The sequence below is a fragment of the Homo sapiens genome, chromosome 5, assembly GCF_000001405.40.
Source record: "Homo sapiens chromosome 5, GRCh38.p14 Primary Assembly".
NCBI classification, from domain to species: Eukaryota; Metazoa; Chordata; class Mammalia; order Primates; family Hominidae; genus Homo; species Homo sapiens.
In genome coordinates, this window is record NC_000005.10 from 133877127 (window position 1) to 133899012 (window position 21886).

Below are 21886 nucleotides of genomic sequence, written 5' to 3' on the forward strand. Positions count from 1 at the left end.
TGTATTCCTTTATTTTCTTAACAAACTTGCTTTCCTGTTACTCTAGGGACTCACCCGAATTCTTTCTTACATGAGGTACAAGAACCCTCTCTTGGGGTCTGGATTGGGATCCGTTTCCGGTAACACTGCCAAACCAGGTCTTCCTGGAGCCCACAACTCTAGACGCTCTGTCCCCTCCTGCAACCATCTGGAGGCCCCAAGGTCTCTTACCTCCAGGCCCAGACACTGCCTCCCTTTCTGCTGCAAAAGCCAAGCTGTCTACCCCAAAGGTGGGAGGATGCAACTGTTTCAACAAGCCCCACATTCACAGCAATGCTCTGTCGATCCCAGCATGACCCTGGGCCCTCAAAACAACTACTTCTCTGCCCACATCACACATAGTCTCTGGTGTGGGCCAACTGGGCAGCTGCCACCCCTTGACCACATATCCCTGCCACCCCCACCCACCTCACTGAGAACCAGGCTCCCTGTCCTGGCTGCAGCCAGAGTGGCATTTCAGAGCCCACAGGTGCCCATTCAGTCTCCCTCTCCTTAAAACACTGATACAAAGGCACTTTTATCTTGCTTTGAAAGCTTTAAAAGTCTTTGCAGTGGTTTCCCATGTTCTGGTCTCTTTCAGATGATAATAGTTTTAATTATAACAATCATTATAGCATAATACCTTCAATTTAGGCAATCAGTTCCATTCGGAATATTCAAATGGGAGGAGGGTGAGCTTGTGTTTCAGAAAGAAGCGCCTAGCCTATTGGCAGGTGCCAGCTACGGCCCCGGGGGTGGGAAGCCAGCTCTGAAGGGAAATGCCTGGACCTCCCAGGAACAGACCTAGAGGGAACACCCCATTCCAGCCCAGGAATCCCCAGGCCTCCACAGGAATAGCCCTGCAACCCTCAGAGACCTGTCGCAGCTCCCCATTGCCCAGAGAAGAAGGTGCTAATTCTTCAGTCCTCTCGTATCAAGCTCCAGGCTCATTTGCATAGCATTGCTGCACACACCTACAGCAGGCCCAGCCGTCTAGTGTTTCCACACTTGAGACACAACTTCCCCAGCCTGGTGCTAGGCACCGTGCTGGCAGCGTGACCAGTTGTCTGTCTAAATTTTAGCTCTGAAAGTCCTGTTACAGTAAGTAGTCAGGCAGACATGGGCAGGGCAGGAGAGAGCCCCCAACACACCCCCACCCTCGCCTCTGTTCTGCAACCAGGAATGTCAGATGACCATCAAGTGGTGGGTCAGGCAGCTGTTACACTGTCTCTCTAAAACAGTAATTAGTCATAGCTGGCAACAGGGAAAGGCAGTCTCCCAATAGACAGAAAAAATCCTGAAACTGGTAATCAGCAGCTTCCCAGTAAGATCTCAGAAGTTGGGTGAGTGGGCTCAGCATGCACACTAAGAGGCAAAATGGCGGAGTTTAACTGGTCTATGACTTTCTAGGAACGTTCCACTGGTAAGGGAATAACGCCTCAAGTGAGCATGCGTACAACTCCAGTAAACACACTGTACACGCTCCCCTCCCAAGTACTGGCAGGCCGCTGCACATGCGGACAGCCTACCCCAAGGAAAGAATAAGGGGAGAAGGAACACAAGACCCTGGAAGCATGACAACATATAAAACCCCACGTCAGGTTAAACTACACACTTGATCTTGCAAGTCACCCCTTTCACCCTCTTCTAAGTGTACTTTCCTTCCTTTCATCCCTGCTCTAAAGCTTTTTAATAAACTTTCACTCCTGCTCTAAAACTTGCCTCACTGTCTCATTCTGACTTATACCTTTCTATCAAAGTCTTTCTTCTGAGGAGGCAAGAGTTGAGGTTGCTGCAGGAACTTACACATTCACCACCAGTCACAGTCCTACCTGCCAGGACATCCCTCAGTCCTCATGCAAACCCGGATGCTTGGTCACCCCACCTGCTAGGCACTGGGCATCCAGCAGTAAACCAGACTTGCTCCCTGATCTGACCAAGCTCTTGGTCTAGAAAGGAGTGAGAGCTTACAAAATATTAATAGGGATTGTTTTCGTGCCATGGGGCTGCCATAAAAAGTCACCACAAACTGGGTAACATAAAACTACGGACACTTATTATCTCACAGTTCAGGAGGCCAGAAGTCCAAAATCAAGGTGTTGGCAGGGTTGGCTGTTTCTGGAGACTCTGAGGGAGAATCTGCCCAGTGGCTCTCCCAGCCTCAGGTGGCAGCTGGCAATCCTTGGCATTCCTTGGCTTTTAGATGCATTGCTCCAATCTCTGCCTCCACCCTCACAGGCCCTTCTTCTGTATGTACTCTGTGTCTTCACCTCTTCATATAAGACTAGTCATTGGATTCAGGCCCACTCTAAACCAGGATGATTTCATCTCAAGATGGTAACTAATTACATCTGAAAAGACCCTATTTTAAATAAAGTCACGTTCTGAGTTTCTGCATGGACATGAATGTTGGGAGGATACTATTAAACCACTACAGGAATGAACTCAATAAATGCCAGCTGGGGTTTGTAAAAATCCCATGGGACCTCCAAGGCTGGAGGGAGAGGAAAGTCTCATTCATTCATTACCCAGATATTCCCTAGCACCTACTACACACCAGGCACTGTTCTACACTCTTGGGAAACATCAAGGAATGAAGTCAGGAACCCTTGCTCTTGTGGAGCTTCTAGGGAGTGCAAAAGGAAGGACTGGGAAAAAGTCCCAAAGGGTGGCTGGAATTTGGCAGACATAGAAGAATGAGGGGTTGTTCTGGGTCAAGAACAGCCCTTGGTGGGTTGCAAACTATGCGAGCCTGTGTTCTTAGACATAGACACAGGAGAGAGGGCTGCTGTTGGTAAGCCTCCCTCAGCCCAGCAACGGCTTCAGACCAGACCCTGAGAACGGTGGCAGAGATCATGAGTGGCTGGGGGTGTCTTTGGGGCCACAGCTCTATCAGTGCCCCCACTCTTGATAGGACAGTTGCCCATGTTTCCCTGCACATGTGAAGCGCCACACAAACATAGCTAGTCCTCTAGCTCCGTCCTTGCACAGACCCTTGCCCTGAGCCTCTCCTTCCCATGGAGGAACTCTAGAGCTACAGGTAGGGAACCACTGCCCCAAAGCTTGGCCAGCAAGAGGAGAAGCCTGGACTTGGTCTCGAGAGCTGTTATCTCAACCTCAGCTCATGGAACCTCGTGAGGATCTAACAGAAGTGGGACCTTTCCCTAAGGTTGGGCCATTCTGCTGAGGCATTCAAGGTTTTAATGATCACTGTCCTGAGAGTCACGGAATCCAGCTCAATGCCTGCCTCCTCCAGGAAGCCCTCCTGGACTTACCCCTCTTGTGAACACCTATCATACTTTCTTATAGCTGGTGTGTTCACATCCTCTCACCTCCTCAACTGTACCATGGAGGTATTTCTATTTTCTTTTTTTGTTTGTTTGTTTGTTTTTGAGATGGAGTCTCACTCTGTCACCCAGGCTGGAGTGCAGTGGTGCGATCTCGGCTCGCTGCAAGCTCCGCCTCCCAGGTTCACGCCATTCTCCTGCCTCAGCCTCCCAAATAGCTGGGACTACAGGCACCCGCCACCACGCCCGGCTGATTTTTTGTATTTTTAGTAGAGACGGGGTTTCACCATGTTAGCCAGGATGGTCTCAATCTCCTGACCTCGTGACCCTCCTGCCTAAGCCTCCCAAAGTGCTGGGATTACAGGTGTGAGCCACCATGCCCAGCTGGTATTTCTATTTTCTAGGAAAATGTGTGTTGTACATTCCCAGCTCTCGACCCACTCTGGTCACTGAGACCCTGGCCTTCTCCTGGAGCTTGACAAAATAACACACCAACCAAAATCTTCCCCCAGAGAATCCCACTGTAGGGCAGAATCAGACACTTCCTCAGTCCCCATCTCCTTCTGCTTTAAGTGTGTGACAGTCACCAAGTTATGCACTGTAGCCTTTTCCTTTTCAACACCAAGGGGCACTTCCTTCTGTACTACAAATAGTCGTTCCCCACTAAGAGTCAGTGGTCCTGGGACTCATAAACTTCAGGTCATTACTAACCAATGTGTGTCTTTCCTCGGGGCTATAATCTTTCCAATAAGCCATGGCTGGGCTGCAGTTCCCTCAAAGATTAATGTGCATGCCAATGCTAATGCATTCACCAATTGTCCTGTCTCAGAAGGCGTCACACATACACACACACACACACACACACACACACACACACACATACACACACAGCTCTAGGGCTGGCTGGTCTCTCATCCTTCCTGCACACCACACCACCTCGGAAGGTGATGTGGCCAGGCTCTTCCCTCCCTCTTCAAAGTCTGGAAACGGACTGTGCAAGCCAACAGATGCTTGTGCTGCACCCAGACTGCCCTTGACTTCAATGCCCTCCCCAAATACCAAATGTCAATTTCCCAAGCTGATGGGGGCACAGAAGTGGGGGCAGGGCTCATCCCCTCACTGAGGAATTTCCTCAGAAAGAATGATCACTCTTGCCATTTCCCTGCTCAGAAATCTGGCCCAGCCTCCTGTGGCTTTTAGGATAAGGACTCACAGCTCAACAGCCCCAGGGGCCTCCGTGAAGGTGAGCTGTACCCCACTGGCCTGGCCTCCCAGCCTCAGCCCCAAGGAAGCCGTTAGCTCCCTCAAGGCACCCAGCTCTTCCCTTCTTGTGGTTTCCCCCACTCCCAGCTCCCCTCCTGGAACTCCCCTCTCCCTGCCGCCTGCACATGGCCAACTACTTCCCAGGTCCAGTGTGAGCATGCCCTCCGCTGCCAAGGCTTCCCTGCTTCCTGAGTAATCCTAGTTTACTTTTCTTCTGTAAGAGGCAATAACACACAGTGCTGGACAGCAGGGGATCTGGAGTCAGACTTCCTGGTTCAAATCCCGGTCTGTTGCTCACCTGCTTGTGGACCGTGGATAAGCTGCTTAATCGCTCTCTACCTGTATCCTCGTCTTAAAGCAAAGCTAATCCATAGAGTTGCTATGAAGATAAAAGGACAATGTCGTCCCCTCTAAATGTTTTGAATTGTGTGGGGCACGCAGCGAATAACCAGTGTCAGCTGTTGTTATCATTACCATCACTTCTAATCTCGCATCACTCTCCTTCTTTTGCCTGCCCAGCCCTTCTCGCACGTGGTGGCTGCGCATCTACTTGGTGGTGATTTGTTGACTGCTGGGATGTCAGCTCCAAGATGAACAGAACCTGAAGCCTGGCATGGTGCCTGGCATGCACAGGTGCTCTGTAATTAACACCTGTTGATTAAAAATCATCATCACTGGCTCTTCTGACTTTAAGCGTCACTGTCCTGGTGGAAGAGGGCTGTAGAGGAGAGAAGTGGTCAGGATAGATGCCGAGTGATGCGCTGAAGCCCCCACCGGGGACACAGATGGACAGGGCACCCTGGGAGCCGCTCTGCGGGCAGCTGGTGAAGCCAGTGCCTAATCAGGCTGCCCAGGCCTGTGGCCCAGCTCTGCCTCTCCTTCCTGTGTGGCCCTGGACAGGTTTTCTAAACTTTCTGACCCTCTGTTTCTCCACTCATAAAACTCCAGTGGGAGGCCAAGGCAGGAGGACTGCTTGAGCCCAGGAGTTTAAGGACTGCTTGGGCAACATAACAAGACCCTGTCTCTTAAAAATAAAAATAAAACACACACACACAAACAAACTCCAGCAGAAAAGCTTTGGTATCTAGTTGAGGCAGCATCCTCTACAGGAAGGGCAGAGAAAGGCCGGCCCCTCTTTCTGCCTGCTTCTGGCATGGCTCCTGGCTGTCCCCAGCATCTGCATTGCCATCTGTAGAGTATGTAAATCCATACAATTAATACTCTTCATAATCTTACCGCAACCATTTTTCTTCACGAATGTGTTCAGTTTCAGGAAACGCGGCATGTCCTGGAGGCACATTTACATTTCATTATCTCTAAAAGCTTAACTACCGTGACTAATGCTGGATTAATAAGCAGCCCCTTCGAACGTCGAACTACTTTAAACACCACCACTTACGCAGTCTCACTGGTGGTGGAAGAGGGTGCTTTCAAACAGCCGCTGTGGCTGAGAAGGGGTCAGTCCAGGAAGCTAAGCAGGTCTAATTTCTGGATCTCCCTTGAGAGACTTTATATTATTCTATCCAAGCAATTAAATCTCAGCCAAAGCTATCAATTTCCCGATGAGCCTGGGACTGAAAGAAAGTCCAGGTGGAGTCCATGTGGGTCACCTGGAGTGTTCCCAATCCCCGCACCAAGGGAGAACCCTGACTGGCCTGGACTCCAAGCACAACACCTAGCTATGAGGCTGTGTGTGCTAAGCACCAGGACCAGACAATGCTCATTTGCAGCTGGAAACCTCATGTACAGCCTTTAAAAGAAGAAAACAAGCCACCAAGTTGAGAGACATCAAAGTCAGACTCCGGCTGAAAGCCCTGGGACTGCCTCCCTAAGGGACAGCACACGAACCACCCCACTGAGGCAGCCGCAGGGAGCACACTCCCTCTGGCCCTTTACCAGCAATCCTGGCACCCGGAAGTGCATGCTTTGTAAATTCCAAGCACAACCATTTTGGGCAGATATTCGTTATTATTGTATTTTTGTGACACAAGTGAGTGCCGTGTCACAGTCAACTATCAGTGCAGGTAGACAGTGGTGTCCAGAAATCTCTCCCTCCAGACTTTCATCCCACCTGACACCTCAGACCCCCAGCATTTTAGCTCATGCAACTGATTTGGGTTTGGCTGCTGCAATGTCTCTGGTTTGTTCAAGATGCTTCTCCCACAAGGATGTGTTCTGCTCTGAGAACTTGGTCACAGATGCTGGTTGATGCAGAGGCCTTCATCGAAGGGACTGGGCTGCCCCTGCCCTCCAGCCACCTCTGCCCACTCTATGCATCACTGGCTAGAGACCCCTTGCTCACCTCCCACAAATGCTCTGGGCCTACCCGTGGCCTTCAGCATAGCAGACCCAGCCCAACTTGTAGGGAGTGGGCCCACCCTCAGCTTCAGGACTGGCATCCAGGGAGGAGGCTTGCTCAAGGAAAGCCCATCCTCTGCTCCCTCTGCTCCAGGAGAAGGGGCCGAGGCCCTCAAAGTTCTGGCTCTCTGACTGTCATCCACCTCAAACTGCAAAGAGGCCCAGAAGCTAAGCCATCTACTGTTTACCAACTCTCCTCCCCAGGACCATCCTGGATCTCCCTGGGCTCCGGACAGCAGCGCTAGCACCCATTGTGACACAGGTTACTGCTTGCTCAGTGGTGCCTAGAGTCTGCATGCTCATCTCCCCGGCAAGTAGGGTGAAGCAGGGCAGGCCAGAGCACCTGTGGGATCTTGCCCCAGCTCCATGGGGTGACAACTCCACCTCTGTACCAGGAATTATTCTGATCCCTATTATCCTTCTTCCACGTATCCCACCAAAAACACCCATTTCTCAGGAAGGGCTAAGAGTCCTGGACGACACTTCATGGGGAGTCAGAATTCCCCATCATGCCAGGTGACTGACTAGCAGAACCTGCTGCTGAAGGTCACATGGACAGGGAGGCATGCACAGAACACAGGAGGTCTCATCTCCTCCTCCCCCACACCATGACCCTAGAAAAGCTCACGAGGGCAGGAGCCAGCCCTGCCGGCTAGACTCCCCCTGCAGCTCCTCAGCCAGAAACAGGGAGGTTAATAAAACACAGGACGAGGGTCTCCCGAGGGACAACTCTTGGCTGCCTCTGAAGTTTACAAAAGCAGCGCTTCTGATGCCTCAAAGGCTGCCTGCCACGGCTTCCTGTGAATTATTACACTGCAGGTTTTCAGAACATTCTGACTGCAATGCCTTGGGAATGAGAGTAATTGTATTTTATCTGTTTGCCAAGAGTTTTCAGTAAACTCCTTTAATGTACTGTAAAACTCACAGCCCCAAATAGCAATGTGTGCCTTCTAGCTTATGCACCAGGCACTGAATAAACACAGGGTGATATATGGGGCTGGAGAGGACACTATTCATATATTTACACCCTTTACCAAAACACACATTCATCTTAATGACATTACTTACTACATAGCCCAACAAATGGAGCCCTCTGAAGGTCACAGTCACAGGCGTTCCTCCAAGATGGCCTCCTCAGCTTGCAGAAGACTTGCCCCAAGGCAGTCCTTGTTCCAGGGATTCCCCACCATAGAAAATCAGATGTCCCCCCGCTTCCCTGTGAGTCAGAACCTGGGGCAGGAAAGCCACCCAAGGCCTCTCCTCCTCATCCCCCAACGACAGGGCCCAGACAGCTGGTGGACACCAATTACCACCCCGTACACCCAGACTTCAGCAACAGGCTACCCTCAAATTGGCCTCAACTCCTTCTTCAACCAGGACAAGGGGGAGGAGAAATAGGAGGAGGAAGATGAAGAAGAGGAGGCAGAGAAAGGAGGGAGGGAAAAGCGGGGGGAGCTGACGGGGGAGGAGGGTGCCTCATTGTGAGGAGGAGGAGCTGGGGGGAGGCGAGGGCAACAGAGTGGACTTGGTCTTCGGGCCACACCCCCTATCCTCCAAAGTGAGGGTCCAATCGAGACCAGGTGTGGAAGAAAAGCCACCCAAGGGAAAGGCCTTGGGCAATGGTGTGCGAGGCCAGAGGCCGGATCTGGGGTTCCATCCAGCCACCAGCCCCTAGGGAGAGCTTGACAAGGGTTTCCCCTTATGCCCCCTCAGTCAATTTCCCCATCTAAAACAGAGGAAGTCAGACCCAGTGATCTCTTGAGGCAGACTTCACCCTCACGGCCACCATGGTCGGTCCAAACCACCACTGTCTCTCTCCCTCTGTGTGCCTCTGCCTTCCCACAATGTATTCTCCACACAGGAGCCACAGCAGGCCTACTAAAATGAAAATCAGGTCATGTCACCCCTCTGTTTGGAACCCTCCAATGCCAACCTCTCAACCAAGACCTACCAAGGCCCTCCAGGATCTGGCCCCCAGCTCATACCCTCTTCCTCACTTCCCCCACTCCAGCCACACCAGCCTCCTCCCGGGCTGGACCTGGAAGCCACCGAAGCCCTGGGTCTTTGTATCTGCTGGTGCCTTGCCTGGAATGCCCTTCCCTGAGATATCTCCAAGGCCTCCTTCCTCTCTGCCTTCAAGTCTTTCCTCAAGAGGCCCCTTCTTTACAAAGCCTTCCCTGGCCAGTCACCCTGAGGCCCCACCTTCCCTTCCTGCCACTTCTTCTCTCCTAGCACTTATGATTTCCTGCTGTACCATACATTTTACTTACATTGTCCATTGTTTCTTCCTGTCTACTCTCTAAGAAGAATATAAGCTCTGTGAGGGCAGGGATTTCATCTGTTTCGTCCATTGCTGTACACCAGTGCCTAGAATACCTGGCACAGGGCAGGCACTCAATAAATATCTTCTGAATTTTTAAGGACCAAGTCCTTATCTAACCCATCCAGAAGCCTTGTTTTATATATACATACATACATGCATATATATACACACACATGCACACACACATATATATATTTACAGAACAAAGTTCCAATTTACCTTCAAACCTGAAATAGAATACAAATCCCACATCAATTAACTAGGACCTGGCCCGGCACAGTGGCTCACACCTGTAATCCCAGCACTTTGGGAGGCCAAGCCACGAGGATCACTTGAGCCCAGGACTTCAAGACAAGCCTGGGCAACATCGAAAGACCCCATCTCTACAAAAAAAAAAAAATTTAAATAAATGAGCTGGTCATGATGGCACATGCCTGTCAGTCAGTCCCAGCTACCTGGGAGACTGAGGTAGAAGGATCAGGATCACTTGAGCCCAGGTGTTCAAGACTGCAGTGAGCTATGATTGTACCACCACACTCCAGACTGGGCGGCAGAGTGAGACTCAAAAACAAACAAATTAACTAACACCTACTTCTTTTGAAGCAGGCACACTTGGAGGCTGCCCCCACCCTGCCCTCATCCTCTGTTTTCAATACCATCAGGCACTCTCTCCATGCCAGGGGTCAGTGTCTCCTTTGATCATCACGTGGGTTCCAGCATTTTGGCAAGAGAGCTGTTTCACTGTTCATGTCATACAAAAGAATGGTGGAGCTTAGCTCTCTGGTGCAGACACACCTCCTTCTTTTGGGGGTGAGGAGATCCTACAGAAATCCATCCTGGCTCCCAAGTTAGCCATATGCATCCAGAATAAGGTCACCAGGGCCAGGCATTCTGCCATGTTGGCTGCCCTAGCCTGTCCAGCAGCTTTAGGAAAGAATTCCAGACGTGAGAGAAGGTGGACATTGGACATGGGCGATCTTGGACATCGACATGAGAGGCCATGGCAATTATGCATGAGAGATCATAGACACAGACACAGGAGACCAAGGATATCGGACATGGGGCAACCTGAACACTGGACTGGGGAGGCCACAGACATCAACTGTGAGAGAGGGCAGCCATGGCTTCAGGATTGGGTGGGGAGCCTAGGACTCTTCCTTCACAAGCCTGTCTTGTGGGTAGACCTCAGCTTTTTTCCCCTGGGTCCCCACTGTTGTGCTAGACCCCTGTTCACTCCAATAGTGATGGCACCAGGTTTAAGAGGCTGAAGAAGAGACCCAAAGCCAGCAAAAGAGACATAGGGTTTTATTTAGGGGAACTTACATACAGGGACAGTCCAGTGACTGTGGGCTAGACAGAAGAACTACAATTGCTTGCAAAAAGCATGCAGCTTGGCCAGGCATGGTGGCTCACGCCTGTAATCCCAGCACTTTGGAAGGCCGAGGCGGGTGGATCACTTGAGGTCAGGAGTTCAAGACCAGCCTGGCCAATATGGTGAAACCCCATCTCTACTAAAGATACAAAAATTAGCCAGGCATGGTGGCATGTGCCTGCAGTCCCAGCTACTCAGGAGGCAGAGGTGAGAGAACCACTTGAACCCGGGAGGCAGAGGTTGCAGTGAGCCGAGATCACATCATTGCAGTCCAGCCTGGGTAACAGAGCGAGACTCTGTCTCAAAAAAAAAAAAAAAAAAAGCATGCAGCTTATATAGTACCTTCATTTGGCACCCTCCCCACAGAAACCTCTTTGTGCAACTCTCATTTCTCAAACCACGCCACTGCTGTCAGGTACATCTGCCATCCAGGGTCATTCTCAGGGTATGGTTAAGTTATTGTTGTCAGGTGCATCTACCATCTGCCAGGACCAGATAATGCTTATTTGCAGCTGGAAACCTCATGTACAGCCCTTAAAAAAAAAAAAAAAAAAGCAGCCAAGTTGAGAGACATCAAATATATCAAAGTCAGATCTACATGGCCCTGGAGTCAGACTCTACAAAGCCACTATCTTGCCCTGGAAGTTAGCGTGTCCTGCACTTGACTCTAGTCTCCTCAGTGAGAGCTGAGTCCCCAGTGGTGGTTAGCTCCTGCCGCAGCGTTAAGCTGATGAGGTGAGTGCTTCCACGCCACCTGGCAGGTAGGTGCTCATCAGATGAGCTGCAGCCACAGTGAGCACTCTCCCTGAGGCTTGCTGGCTGACCCCTTAATGGTGTTCTCCATCTTTCTTCCTCCCTAAGTTTACATCAGGATTCTGCAAGAGTCAGGATTTCTTAGAAATCCTGATTCCCATCCTGACCCTGTAAACATTAAGCCTGCTCTTCCCACAGCCTTCCATTTCAGAGAGGGCCCACGCCATCCTTCCAGTTGCTCAGGACAAAATCTAGGAGTCATGTTTCATTCCTTCCTTTCTCTCGAAGACCACATGCTTGTCCAATCTGTCAGCATGTCCTGCCGGGTCTACCTTCAAAACACATGCAGGATCTGATCACTTCACTCCACCTCTATCCTACAACCCTGGTCCAGGCCACCACCCTCTCTGGCCAGATTATTGCCTTGGCCTCCTTCTACTCACCACCACCTAGTCTGTTCTTATGATCAGCAGAATGATGCCCCCAAAGACGCCCACCTGTTCATCCCTGTAACCTATGACTATGATGCCTTACATGGCTAAAGGGCCTTTGCAGATGGGGTTGAGGTTCACGACCTTGAGCCAGGGACAGCAGTCTGTATTACCCAAGTGGGCCCAGTCTAATCACTGGTGTCCTTAAAATCAGAGAACCTTTTCCGGCTGTGGTCACAAACGTGACAATGGAAGGAGGAGGTCAGAGAGAAGACAGTGTGAGGATCCAACAGCATTGTTGGCTCTGAGAGGTAAGAGGCTCCATGCAAGGATCCCAGCAGGGCCTGTAGGAGGCAGGGGCAGCCCCAGCTGACAGCAAGGAAACAGGACCTCAGGCCTGCAGCCCATGGAACCAAACTCGGCCAATATCTGAAAGAGTGAGGAAAACCGACCCTCCTCTAGAGTCCCAAGAGGAACACACTCTGCTGACACCTTGATTTTAGCCAAAGTCAAGAGCTTTTCAGACTTCTGACTTAGCACTGTAAAGTAATAGATTTGTGGTTTTTTAAGCCACTAAATTTGTGGTAATTTGTTACAGCAGCAGCTGGAAAGTAATCCAATTCCCCATCCAGCAGCCTGGCAAAATGGAAGTCAGATCATGTCACTTCTCTGCTCAAAACACTCCATTGGCTTTTAATCTGACCCAGGGTAAAAACCAAAGTCCTTACAAAGCTGGAAAGGCCTGTGGCTTGGGCCCTCCGTTTCCTGCCGTTCTTTCTCTCGCTTCCCCGCTGGATCTCCCCAGCTCCTCCTGGCTTTCTCCTTGCTGCTGCTCCAATGCACCAAGTGCATCTCTGCTCCAGGACATCTGCATGGGTTACTCCCTCTGCCTGGGACCTCTTGCCCCAGATGTCTGTGAGCCTCCTTCCCTCCCTTCAGTGTCTGCTCAATGTCATCTTTCAGAGGGGCCTTCTCTGACTCCTCCACATGCAAGTGCAAACCTTCCCCTGCCCCAGGACACCCCATCTCCCTTCCTGATTTGTTTATCTTCTTAGCACCTCATATATACGTATATTCATTTACTGTCTTTTCCTCTGTCCCACCCCACCTCCAACTAGAAGGTAAGCCCCATGAAGGCAGGAATTTTGATCTATGTTTGTTACTTCGCTATGTATTTCCAGACCCTAAAGCAGTGCTTTGCGTGTACCCAGGGCCCTGGAATATTTGGTAAGGACTGCGTGACCTCGCCCCTGTCTCATGGAGAAACAGTATTGTAAGGGAAGTGGGAGGCTGTCTATTCACATGGCCCACATCCCCAGCAAGTTTGCTTCTGAACTCTTTCCACCCTGTGTGATGACCCACGAGGGCCCCAGAACCTGGCCCTCTACCCACCCCAAGCAGCGGCCATGTGGGCAGGAAATAGCATGCACAAAGGCCTGAGGACTGGCCCATCACTGCTTGCTGTCCCACATCCCCTAACAAAAGGTAACAATGGATGATATGTGATCTGCCCTTCCAGTTCCAGGGACTCTCCCCTCTCTACTGTGGGCCCTCCCACACACCCACCTAGAACAGCTGGAGCTGTGCTGCCCAATACAGTAGCCACCAGCCACATGTGGCTTTTGAGCCTTGAACTGTGACTAATATAAACTGACATGTGTGAGCATAAAATATACTCTGGATTTCAAAGACTTTGTACAAAACAAGAATGTAAATATAGACTCTCATTAACAGTTTTATGTATTGATTACACATTGAATGACGGTATTTTGGAGAAATCAGATTAAATAAAAAGCATGATTCGAATTAATGTTACCATTCCCTTTCACTTTTTTCACGTGGCTACTAGAAAATATAAAGTTGCATGTGTGGTTCACACTGTATTTTTGTAGGACAGTGCTGATCTGGAGGGAAAAAGCCATCTGGGAAGCAATGCTGAGCACAGGTGGGAGGCTTTCCTCTGTGGTCCCCATGCTCCCTCCCCGGAGAGTTGCTTCTGCCTGTTCATCACAACAAATGAGAAAACTGAATCCTCCTCTGAAGCCAGGAAGCACCAGCCTCAGTGGTTGCTGATGGGGTTCCAAGTCCCCTGCAGCCTGGGCCTCAGACAGTGGCTAGAAAGGTCAGCCATGTCTGCTCCATGGGAGGCTCCTTTGCCAGATGTGGCCTTTGTGCCCAGAGGGCCCCAAACATGGTCATTCCCTTGGGTGAGTCTCTTGTGGAATGCATTGAGGTCAAAGAAGTGGCTGAGATGGGAGCTCTGCCTCTGCAGACTGGCATCTCTGTCCAAGCTGGAATCATATAGATTTGGAGCCCAATGTGGGCACCCCATTTTGGTTTCTGGCTGTATCTCCAGCACTCTGAGCCAGGGTCTTGGCCCATGAACACCAGGGGCATGGTTGTTGGAGGACATGGCCTGAGGTGTGGGCCGCAGCATCTGGAGATGTGGCACTTTGTTTTTAAAAATAAGATGAGTCCCGGGTTTCTGGCACTAATGACTCTCAGATCCTATCACCCTTAAAAATATCCTCCAAAGGTGGCTGTTGTCACTGCATTTTTAGCACATACTATTTCCAAGGCTGCAAACATTCTGGGGCCCTGCTGGAGTGGAGACTGCAGATGTGTGAGTCTGTGAAGGCAGCAGCAGCTGCGGAGGTGGAACCAGTCCCCTCTGAGGCTGGCAGGCTTGGGGACTGTGTTTAGCTGCTGCGGAGGAGGGGCAGATAGCAAGGTGGGGAGCCTGGCTCGGAGGCAGGGTGACCTGCCCTGGGAGAGCCACCTTGACCACCCAGACACGGAGGCTCAGGAACCAGCCATCAGCCTCCCCCAAATCCACCTCTCACCTCACCCTACATGCCCAGGTAGCTTAGAAGTCTCTTAGAGACACACTGAGGCAGATACTCAGTGGATCTGCAAATTCCAAATCTCCCAGTTTCCCACCCAGGATAAAAAGGTTGATGACAGAAGCCCAAAAAACCAAGGTCCACATTTATGATGTTTTTTGCTCTTTGGGAGATTCAGAGACATCAAATTGGAATAATGAAGTTTTAGAAACTAACACAGGTGTCTCCGGATTAAATCACAGGACTCCCTTTTCATTCTCTATGAGGCTGCCCCTTTACAGAATTTTGCCAAAGTTTCAGAGCTGTCACAGGCAGCTTCTCTCCAAGTGTGAATTATCTGAGTGAACATGCAACTTTCATCTGGTTTCTGTGTCCTTGGGCCCTGATCACTGCCCAGCAATTCAGAGAAGAAAAACTGACACAGGTTTTTGCCATCTATAAAAAAAATAGAAATAGAGGCCCTGGGTGTATCCCAAAGCCACCTGTGGGTATCTGGGGTGGGGGGGTGGAGTGACAGTCACTGTTTTGGATAATCTTTGGAAAGAATCCCTGATCAGTGGGCTGAGATGGAGAGAAGGCTTGCAGAGGAGCCATGGAAGCCATCCACCCACCCCTGCCCCTGGAATCAACTGCATGAATGGCCCTCAGGGATCAGGATGGAGATGAGCGGAGCCCTTGCTCTGGCCTCTGGGACATCTCTTTGCTCTCTGAGGATGGCTGGGTCTGGGGTTCAAGTGCAGCTGGAATATGGGAGTCTTGCAGGTAAGCAGCTCTGATGGGGAGCATATCACTGAGCCAGCCCCCACCTCTGGCCTCAAACCCACCAAGCTATTGGCCTTGAGGGGCAGCTGAACTTGATAGACATCTTCTTTCCTCTGAGCAGATCTGGCTGGTATAGAGAAAGGACTCAAAGAACAGGACTCATCAGAAAGGATCAAAGACTTGGCCTCCCCTCCAGCCAACCCCTCCCAATTGAGCAGTGGAGGACAGTGGATGCTTAACAGCACAGACTCTAGAGTGAAAAATGCATGGGTACTAATTCCAGTTCTGCCACTTTGTGGCTTTGAGACCCTGGATGGGTGACCTGACTTGAAAAATGGGAATAATACCACCCAGTTTATTAGCTGGCTGTGAGTCTTCAGTGAGATGCTGCAAGGAAAGCTCTTAGCTTCTCCAGAGGGCACCACTGGGGGCAGACCCAGGGCAGGCATGAAGATGCTGCCTCCAGAGGTGCACAGGGTAAGCCTGTGTGCCCTGGAGCAAGAATCCTTCTTGCAATGGAAGCTGCTGTTTCGCCCATATAGCTAACACTTCATGGACCACTCACCCAGTGCTCCTTTCAGAACATGCCCCATGCAGGGTCGTCCTACCATCCTCTGCAATGAGCCAGCCGGATGAAGCTCCTAAGACTGGGAGAGGGAGCCACTCTGCATCCTTGGGCCTCAGAAACACAGCACAGAGCCCCCAGGATTGGTGACTTATTTCTGAGTTCCTCACCCCCTCCCCATGGTGCTTCGTTTATGGACTTTTAGGGTCTCCCTGTCATGGCCATGATGACCAGATAAATAAACTTGGCTAAGTTAGAAATTCTAGTCCAGAGAAGCTCGTAGAGGACTTGGACCCATGGCTTCCATTAATAGAGCATATTTCAGCAAAGGCCTCTTAAATCTTGAAGGCTCCGGGGCAGGAGCTGTGGCGTGATGGATGCACTCACTCTAATGGCTCGATGGGAGCTGGAAATCAAAGTGAGGGGTGAATGTGTGCTGGTTGGAAGAAGGCCTTCTGCAGCCAGGGCACTGGTTGCTTTCAGGCTTGGCTGTCCCTTTGGGTATTGAGAGTTGAGTGACCTCTGAGGGCCATACCAATGCCCACCCAGAGGGCCAAGGGAACCCTGGCCTGCGAGTCAGGCCACCCACCACCAGCTCACCATGGGAGCTCAGACTGGGTCTTCACCACACTATGCCTCAGTTCCTTCATCTGTCCTGTGAGCTGGCTGAGCTGGATGGTCTCTAACTGGAGGCCCTCTCTCTTATGTTAGAGGCATGTGGCATCAGCTCACAAGGCACCGCCTCCAAAGAGGAAAACTGGTTGTCTTGTCCCAGAGGAATGCAATTTTCCAGGGACTTCTCAGTCGTGATGAGAGCAGAGGGTTTGGGGATCCAGCTCACTCAGGAGTTTGAAAACAAAGAACTTTGAGAACAAAGAACTATCAGAGCTGCTTTTAGTCTCCCCAAGGGCAGAGACAGTGGTTCAGCCAAGAAGGGACTTGGGACTTGAGAATGCTGGAAAGAGAAAGGTAAGATTGCCTGTGGCGCTAACCCCACCTTGGTCCAAATTACTTCTGACCCGTGGAACAGGACCAGGGACACTGCCTCTGAACTTCTGATTGCAAGAAAACACTTCTCTAAACATTGTGCAGCAGCATCCTTCAGGACCGTAAGACAGTGGCTGTGCAGCACAAAGCCCTCGTGTTCTTTGCTCACCTCTTGCCTCTCTTCCTTTCTGCCTCCCTTGTGTGTTTTCCTGTGTCTGCTTTTCTCCAGTGTTCACCACCTCTTTATGGACACTGACAGAGTGTTCCCTCTCTGCATCAGTTCTGGCAGGAAATGCACGAGCTGACCTCTTTGCTAAAAAAAGATCCACCACTGACAGAATTTCCTCAGGCTCCAGGGTCTATGAGCGCAAAGCTAGGGTAGTACGTCCCCCTCAGGGTCCCCAGGGCTTACCCCTGTGCCTGTACCCAATACCTCCACAATAAATAATTCTTGAAAATTTTTAAGAATAAATTCTAAAACAAAATCAGCACGTATATCTGCCTAGGGAACTGCTAATAAAAACCCTAACAAACCCTAGCTCTAAGTAGTAAAAGCTAAAATATGACCCTGATATTGTCTATACCAAAAAAATTAAGCAAGAGTCACATTGCAACAGATAATGTTGATTTGGTAGCAAAGAGAATTGTGAGATACACAAAGTTACAGCAGAATATTTTCAAAAAATGAAACAATAATGACAGTCAACACAAATAGGCAGCTCAAACACCATGACCACAAAATAGATGCAAGAAAGATGGACATTTCTATGCACCTAACTGTACGTTCTCCTCTCTAAGTGACAGATCAAGCAGACCAAGAACAGAGAAATTATAAGCCTGAAGAATGTGGCAAATGTGTTCTAATAGCCAACATATGGAGGGAACCTATATTCATTCCCTATGGATGCCATGACAAAGTATCATAGTTAGGAGGCTTAAAACAACAGAAATTTATTCTGTTGAGTGTAAGAGAAAATTATTCTGTTGAGTATTCTGTACTCTCCAGAGAGTACAGCTCTGGAGGCCAGAAGTCTGAAAGCAAAGTGTCAGGAGGGCCATGTTTCCTCTGAGACCCTGGGTGGAATCCTCCCTCACTTCTCTTTGGCTTCTCATGGTTAATTCTTGCTGGCTTTTAACTGCATTACTTTAATGTCTGCCTCTGACATCACATGGCATTCCCCACATCTGTCTGTGCGCAGTTTCCATCTTCTTACTAGCACATCGGTCATATTGGATTAGGGTTCACCCTGATGGCCTCATCTTAACTTGATTATACTTGCAAAGGCCCCATTTTCAAATAAGGCCACATTCACAGATGCCCGGGGCTAGGACTTCAACATATATTTCTGGGGACATGATTCAACCCACAACAGAACCCAATGACAAAGCAAGAAGATGCATTTTCTTTGCAAATGTGCTAGTGGCACCAGGTACAATGACTTGGACTCTGCAGATATTCTTCCACATCCACGTATTTATTCATATAAATGAAATCAATATTCTCCACAAATCTTACAAATCTCTTTTATATTATTTGTTGCAGTTCATGTTTTATTTCGGGTTTTATTAGTTTATGTTTTTGTTCTTTGATCAGTTGGACTAATGGCTTTGTAGATTTTTTCAAAGGCCTAATTATTGGTTTTGTCCATCAATACTCATTTTTTCCATCCTGTTTATTCAGCTTTATTATTGCTTGCTTTCCTAATTTTCTTGACCTCTTTCTCACATCTCTAAGACCTTTAAGGTAGAGACTTAGTTTACTCTGTGTGAAGGTGTGTGTGTGTTTAATCTTTCCTATAGACATAGGGATTTAAAATAATGCAGTTTTTCTTTTGCCAATATTCCATATGTTTTGATATGTTACACTTTTAAAAAATTATGATTTTTGTTCTGGACTTTCTTCTTGGCTTAGGCATCTTTTAAGGCAATTCTTTTTAATGTCCGTTAGTGGGGCACCCCAAAAGTACTTTCTGTTTATTTCTAACCTTCTTGTGCTATGGTTGGGAATGTGGTAAGTGGAATTTTACCCACAGTCCAGCATGCTCTAGGGGAAGTGGCACTGTTTGGGGTTCCAGGTGTGATGGCTGACTCAACTGCTGTGATTGCTGACTCAACTCCTGATCTCTTCTGCCCCTCCTCCTTCTTACAACAGTTTTTCTGCTTCCAACCTGTGTTTCTCTGGCCTTCCCAGTGTACATCTGCCTGCTGAACTGACCCTACAAAGACTAAAGTCCTCTCAGCCAGGGATGAGCTCAGGGAGGAGGTGAGAGAGGAAAAGAATGTGGGTGCTTCCATCCTGGTCACACCTGTGACAAGGGCCCTGCTCTCCCTATGTGAAGCCAGTGGCTGGATGCAGATCTGTGAAGTCAACAGCAGAGTTCTGGGGGCCTTTGATGCCAGGCAGACAAGGATGTGGCCAGGCCTTGGCTCCTTCGCTATCTCCAGTGACATCCAGGAGGCAAAGTCACCCTCCTCGGAACATCCCCTCCAGCCCTCTGAAGTGGCACCCCCTACCGCCTGATCAGGCCTTTCCTTCCTGAGGTCTCCCTGGCTCAGCCCCAACCAGCTACCATCACTGCATTCACTTGAGTGAAAAGGCCATCACTGCGTTCACTCCAGAGACTGGCTCTGAGCTTGTCTCGCCTCCCTCGCCACCACCACCCACTCTCAGAGGCAGGAGAAGGCATGCACCTTCCCTGTGCCAGTCCAACTGCTTAGAATATTCTGGCTTTGTTTGGCTCTTTCTTACTCACTTTTCAGGTCTCAGCTTAATAGCTGAGATTTGAGCACATGCTAAGTGACAGGCACTATGCTGAGTAATTTACATATATTAATTCATTAAATCCTCATAATAACCATATGAGATAGGTATATGTTATCTCCAGTTCATAGATGAAGAGACTGAGGTTCAGAAAGGTTAGCTGCTCATCCACAGTCCCTCAATTTGCAGAACTGGGGCTTACATCTGGGGCCAACTTCCTCCAAAGTCCCCACTCTCGAGCACCCTTCACTGACTCTGGAAGGCCTTCTCTGACCCCTGCCCTCTGCTCCTTCCCTACCCCATGATGGCCTGTGCCTCCTCTGGTCCCACAGCCCTGTGGCTACGCTGATGGGTAATTGCTTGTTTGCCTTCCTGCCTTCACCTTTAAGACAAGGAGCTTTTTGAAGGCAGAAATGGAAGGCAGGTTGTCTGCTGCTCTATTACCTGCACTTAGGAAAGGGCTTAAAGTCATTAAGTGTTCACTAAGTGGATTAATGGATAAATGGGTGGATGGGTGAATGGATAGGTGGATGGGTGAATGGATGGGTGGATGGATGGATGCATGGGTGGATGCAGGGGTGGATGAGTGAATAGATGGATGGGTGGATAAATGGGTAGATAGATGGATGAATAGGTAGATGAATGGCAAATGCTGGGGACACGGACAGTGCTAAGACACTGTACCTGCCCTTGGGGAACACTCAGTGTAGAAAAGACAAGCCAAGGATAAGGAGGCAGGTGACTAGGTGTGGGTGGAACATGTGACAGGCCGGTAGTATCAGTCTGCCAGCAGCTGGTTCACGGGGCACATGCTCAGTGAAACCTCCTGAGACAAAAGCTCTCATAGATGGGGCATAAGGGCTGCCAAAAGTTATGAACTCAATGCTGCTATGAACACCCTTCCTCCATGCATGCCTTATAGGATTAGGTGCGGTCTCTAAGCTGGAATGCCATGTGTAGATTCTGCTCTAAACCTGAGAAATAAAAGTATTGACATTATTGAGAAATCTATTGAGATTACCTCCTTCCAGATTAGTATTCTAGTCTCTAAAACAGGATCACATTCACTTAAGGGGACATGGACCCTGATGAACTTCGATGCTGTGAGTGAAGCGAAAGCACTGCAGCTGCAGCCACAGCAAAGCAACAGCACGGAGTGGGAAATGGATTCATGCCCAGCAGCCATGGGGGCCTGGCAGAGAAGGGCAGAGGTTATAGTGTTGGAAAGCTAGTTTGGGGCCTGTTGAACATTTCCAGAAAAAGGAGCTCGAACTTGGTTCTGCAAGCAAGGAAGGAACACTGATGTCACCAGAGCAGGGCTTGGTGTGCTTGCAGCGGTGCCTTAGAAAGCCACCTTTCTAAGGCACTCAGGAGGGCGATGTGTGCAGAAGGGCACCTTAGGGGAGTGTGTCAGGACATGGCTTCTCACGGGCTCTGGCTGGACACAGGGAAGCTGTGGAGGGTCAGGTGCCCTTAGTTTGGCAAGACTCAGGAATTGAGTCCCAGGAGCCGCTGCCATTCCAGGACAAGTCTGTGGAAGCCCAGTTGTGAGAAGTAGGTGAGGTGCGGGGAGGGGAATGCAGTGGGAACGGTGGAATGGTCTGAAAATTACAAGCTATCAGAGAAGTTTTCTGCCTAGTTACACTTTAGCGATTTGGATCTCCAACACTAATTTGAATATTAATTATTTTGAAAAAAGCATACACATGCAAATATTTTTCCTTTTAAACACCTGTCACCACCATCCTGATAAATGGCTTGCTCAGCAGCCCTGCTTGCATCCAGAAGCTCAGCCCAGCCATCCCCCTTTCTGCACAGTCTCACCGACTCCTCCCTCCACCAGGGCCTCATGTAGCACTCTGACCCCTCTTCCCTGGGTGGGTCTGGTCTCCCAACTCTGTCCTCAAGCTCCCCCAAAAGAGAGGACCACTCTGCCCTTCCACTGCCTCCCCCAGGACATTCTCCACCCACTCGGCCAGCACCAGGTGCTTCGGTGGCTGATCTCTCAGCTAAGTTTGCCAAGTGTCTCTAAGGATGTCATCCGGCCACCTCCTCCAAGCATGCCTGGGGGCATAAAGGCTGGGCCTGAGGGTCCCACCCAGAGAAAAAGAGTGAGGGAAAACCTGAGACAACAAGGAGTTTCTGGACTCCCAGGCAGCGAGT

General features: G+C 49.9%; 4 annotated features.

The window, feature by feature from the left end:
- Positions 386-887: an enhancer, noted in NCBI's record as "NANOG-H3K4me1 hESC enhancer chr5:133213203-133213704 (GRCh37/hg19 assembly coordinates)". NCBI's record gives its function as "activates a minimal SCP1, AML or CMV promoter by ChIP-STARR-seq in naive H9 embryonic stem cells {active_cell/tissue: H9 hESC(naive)}" and the evidence as "EXISTENCE:reporter gene assay evidence [ECO:0000049][PMID:30033119]".
- Positions 6492-6993: an enhancer, noted in NCBI's record as "H3K27ac hESC enhancer chr5:133219309-133219810 (GRCh37/hg19 assembly coordinates)". NCBI's record gives its function as "activates a minimal SCP1, AML or CMV promoter by ChIP-STARR-seq in primed H9 embryonic stem cells {active_cell/tissue: H9 hESC(primed)}" and the evidence as "EXISTENCE:reporter gene assay evidence [ECO:0000049][PMID:30033119]".
- Positions 6994-7493: an enhancer, noted in NCBI's record as "H3K27ac hESC enhancer chr5:133219811-133220310 (GRCh37/hg19 assembly coordinates)". NCBI's record gives its function as "activates a minimal SCP1, AML or CMV promoter by ChIP-STARR-seq in primed H9 embryonic stem cells {active_cell/tissue: H9 hESC(primed)}" and the evidence as "EXISTENCE:reporter gene assay evidence [ECO:0000049][PMID:30033119]".
- Positions 7838-8038: a silencer, noted in NCBI's record as "peak5470 fragment used in MPRA reporter construct". NCBI's record gives its function as "represses an SCP1 promoter by STARR-seq MPRAs in K562 erythroleukemia cells {active_cell/tissue: K562}" and the evidence as "EXISTENCE:reporter gene assay evidence [ECO:0000049][PMID:32103011]".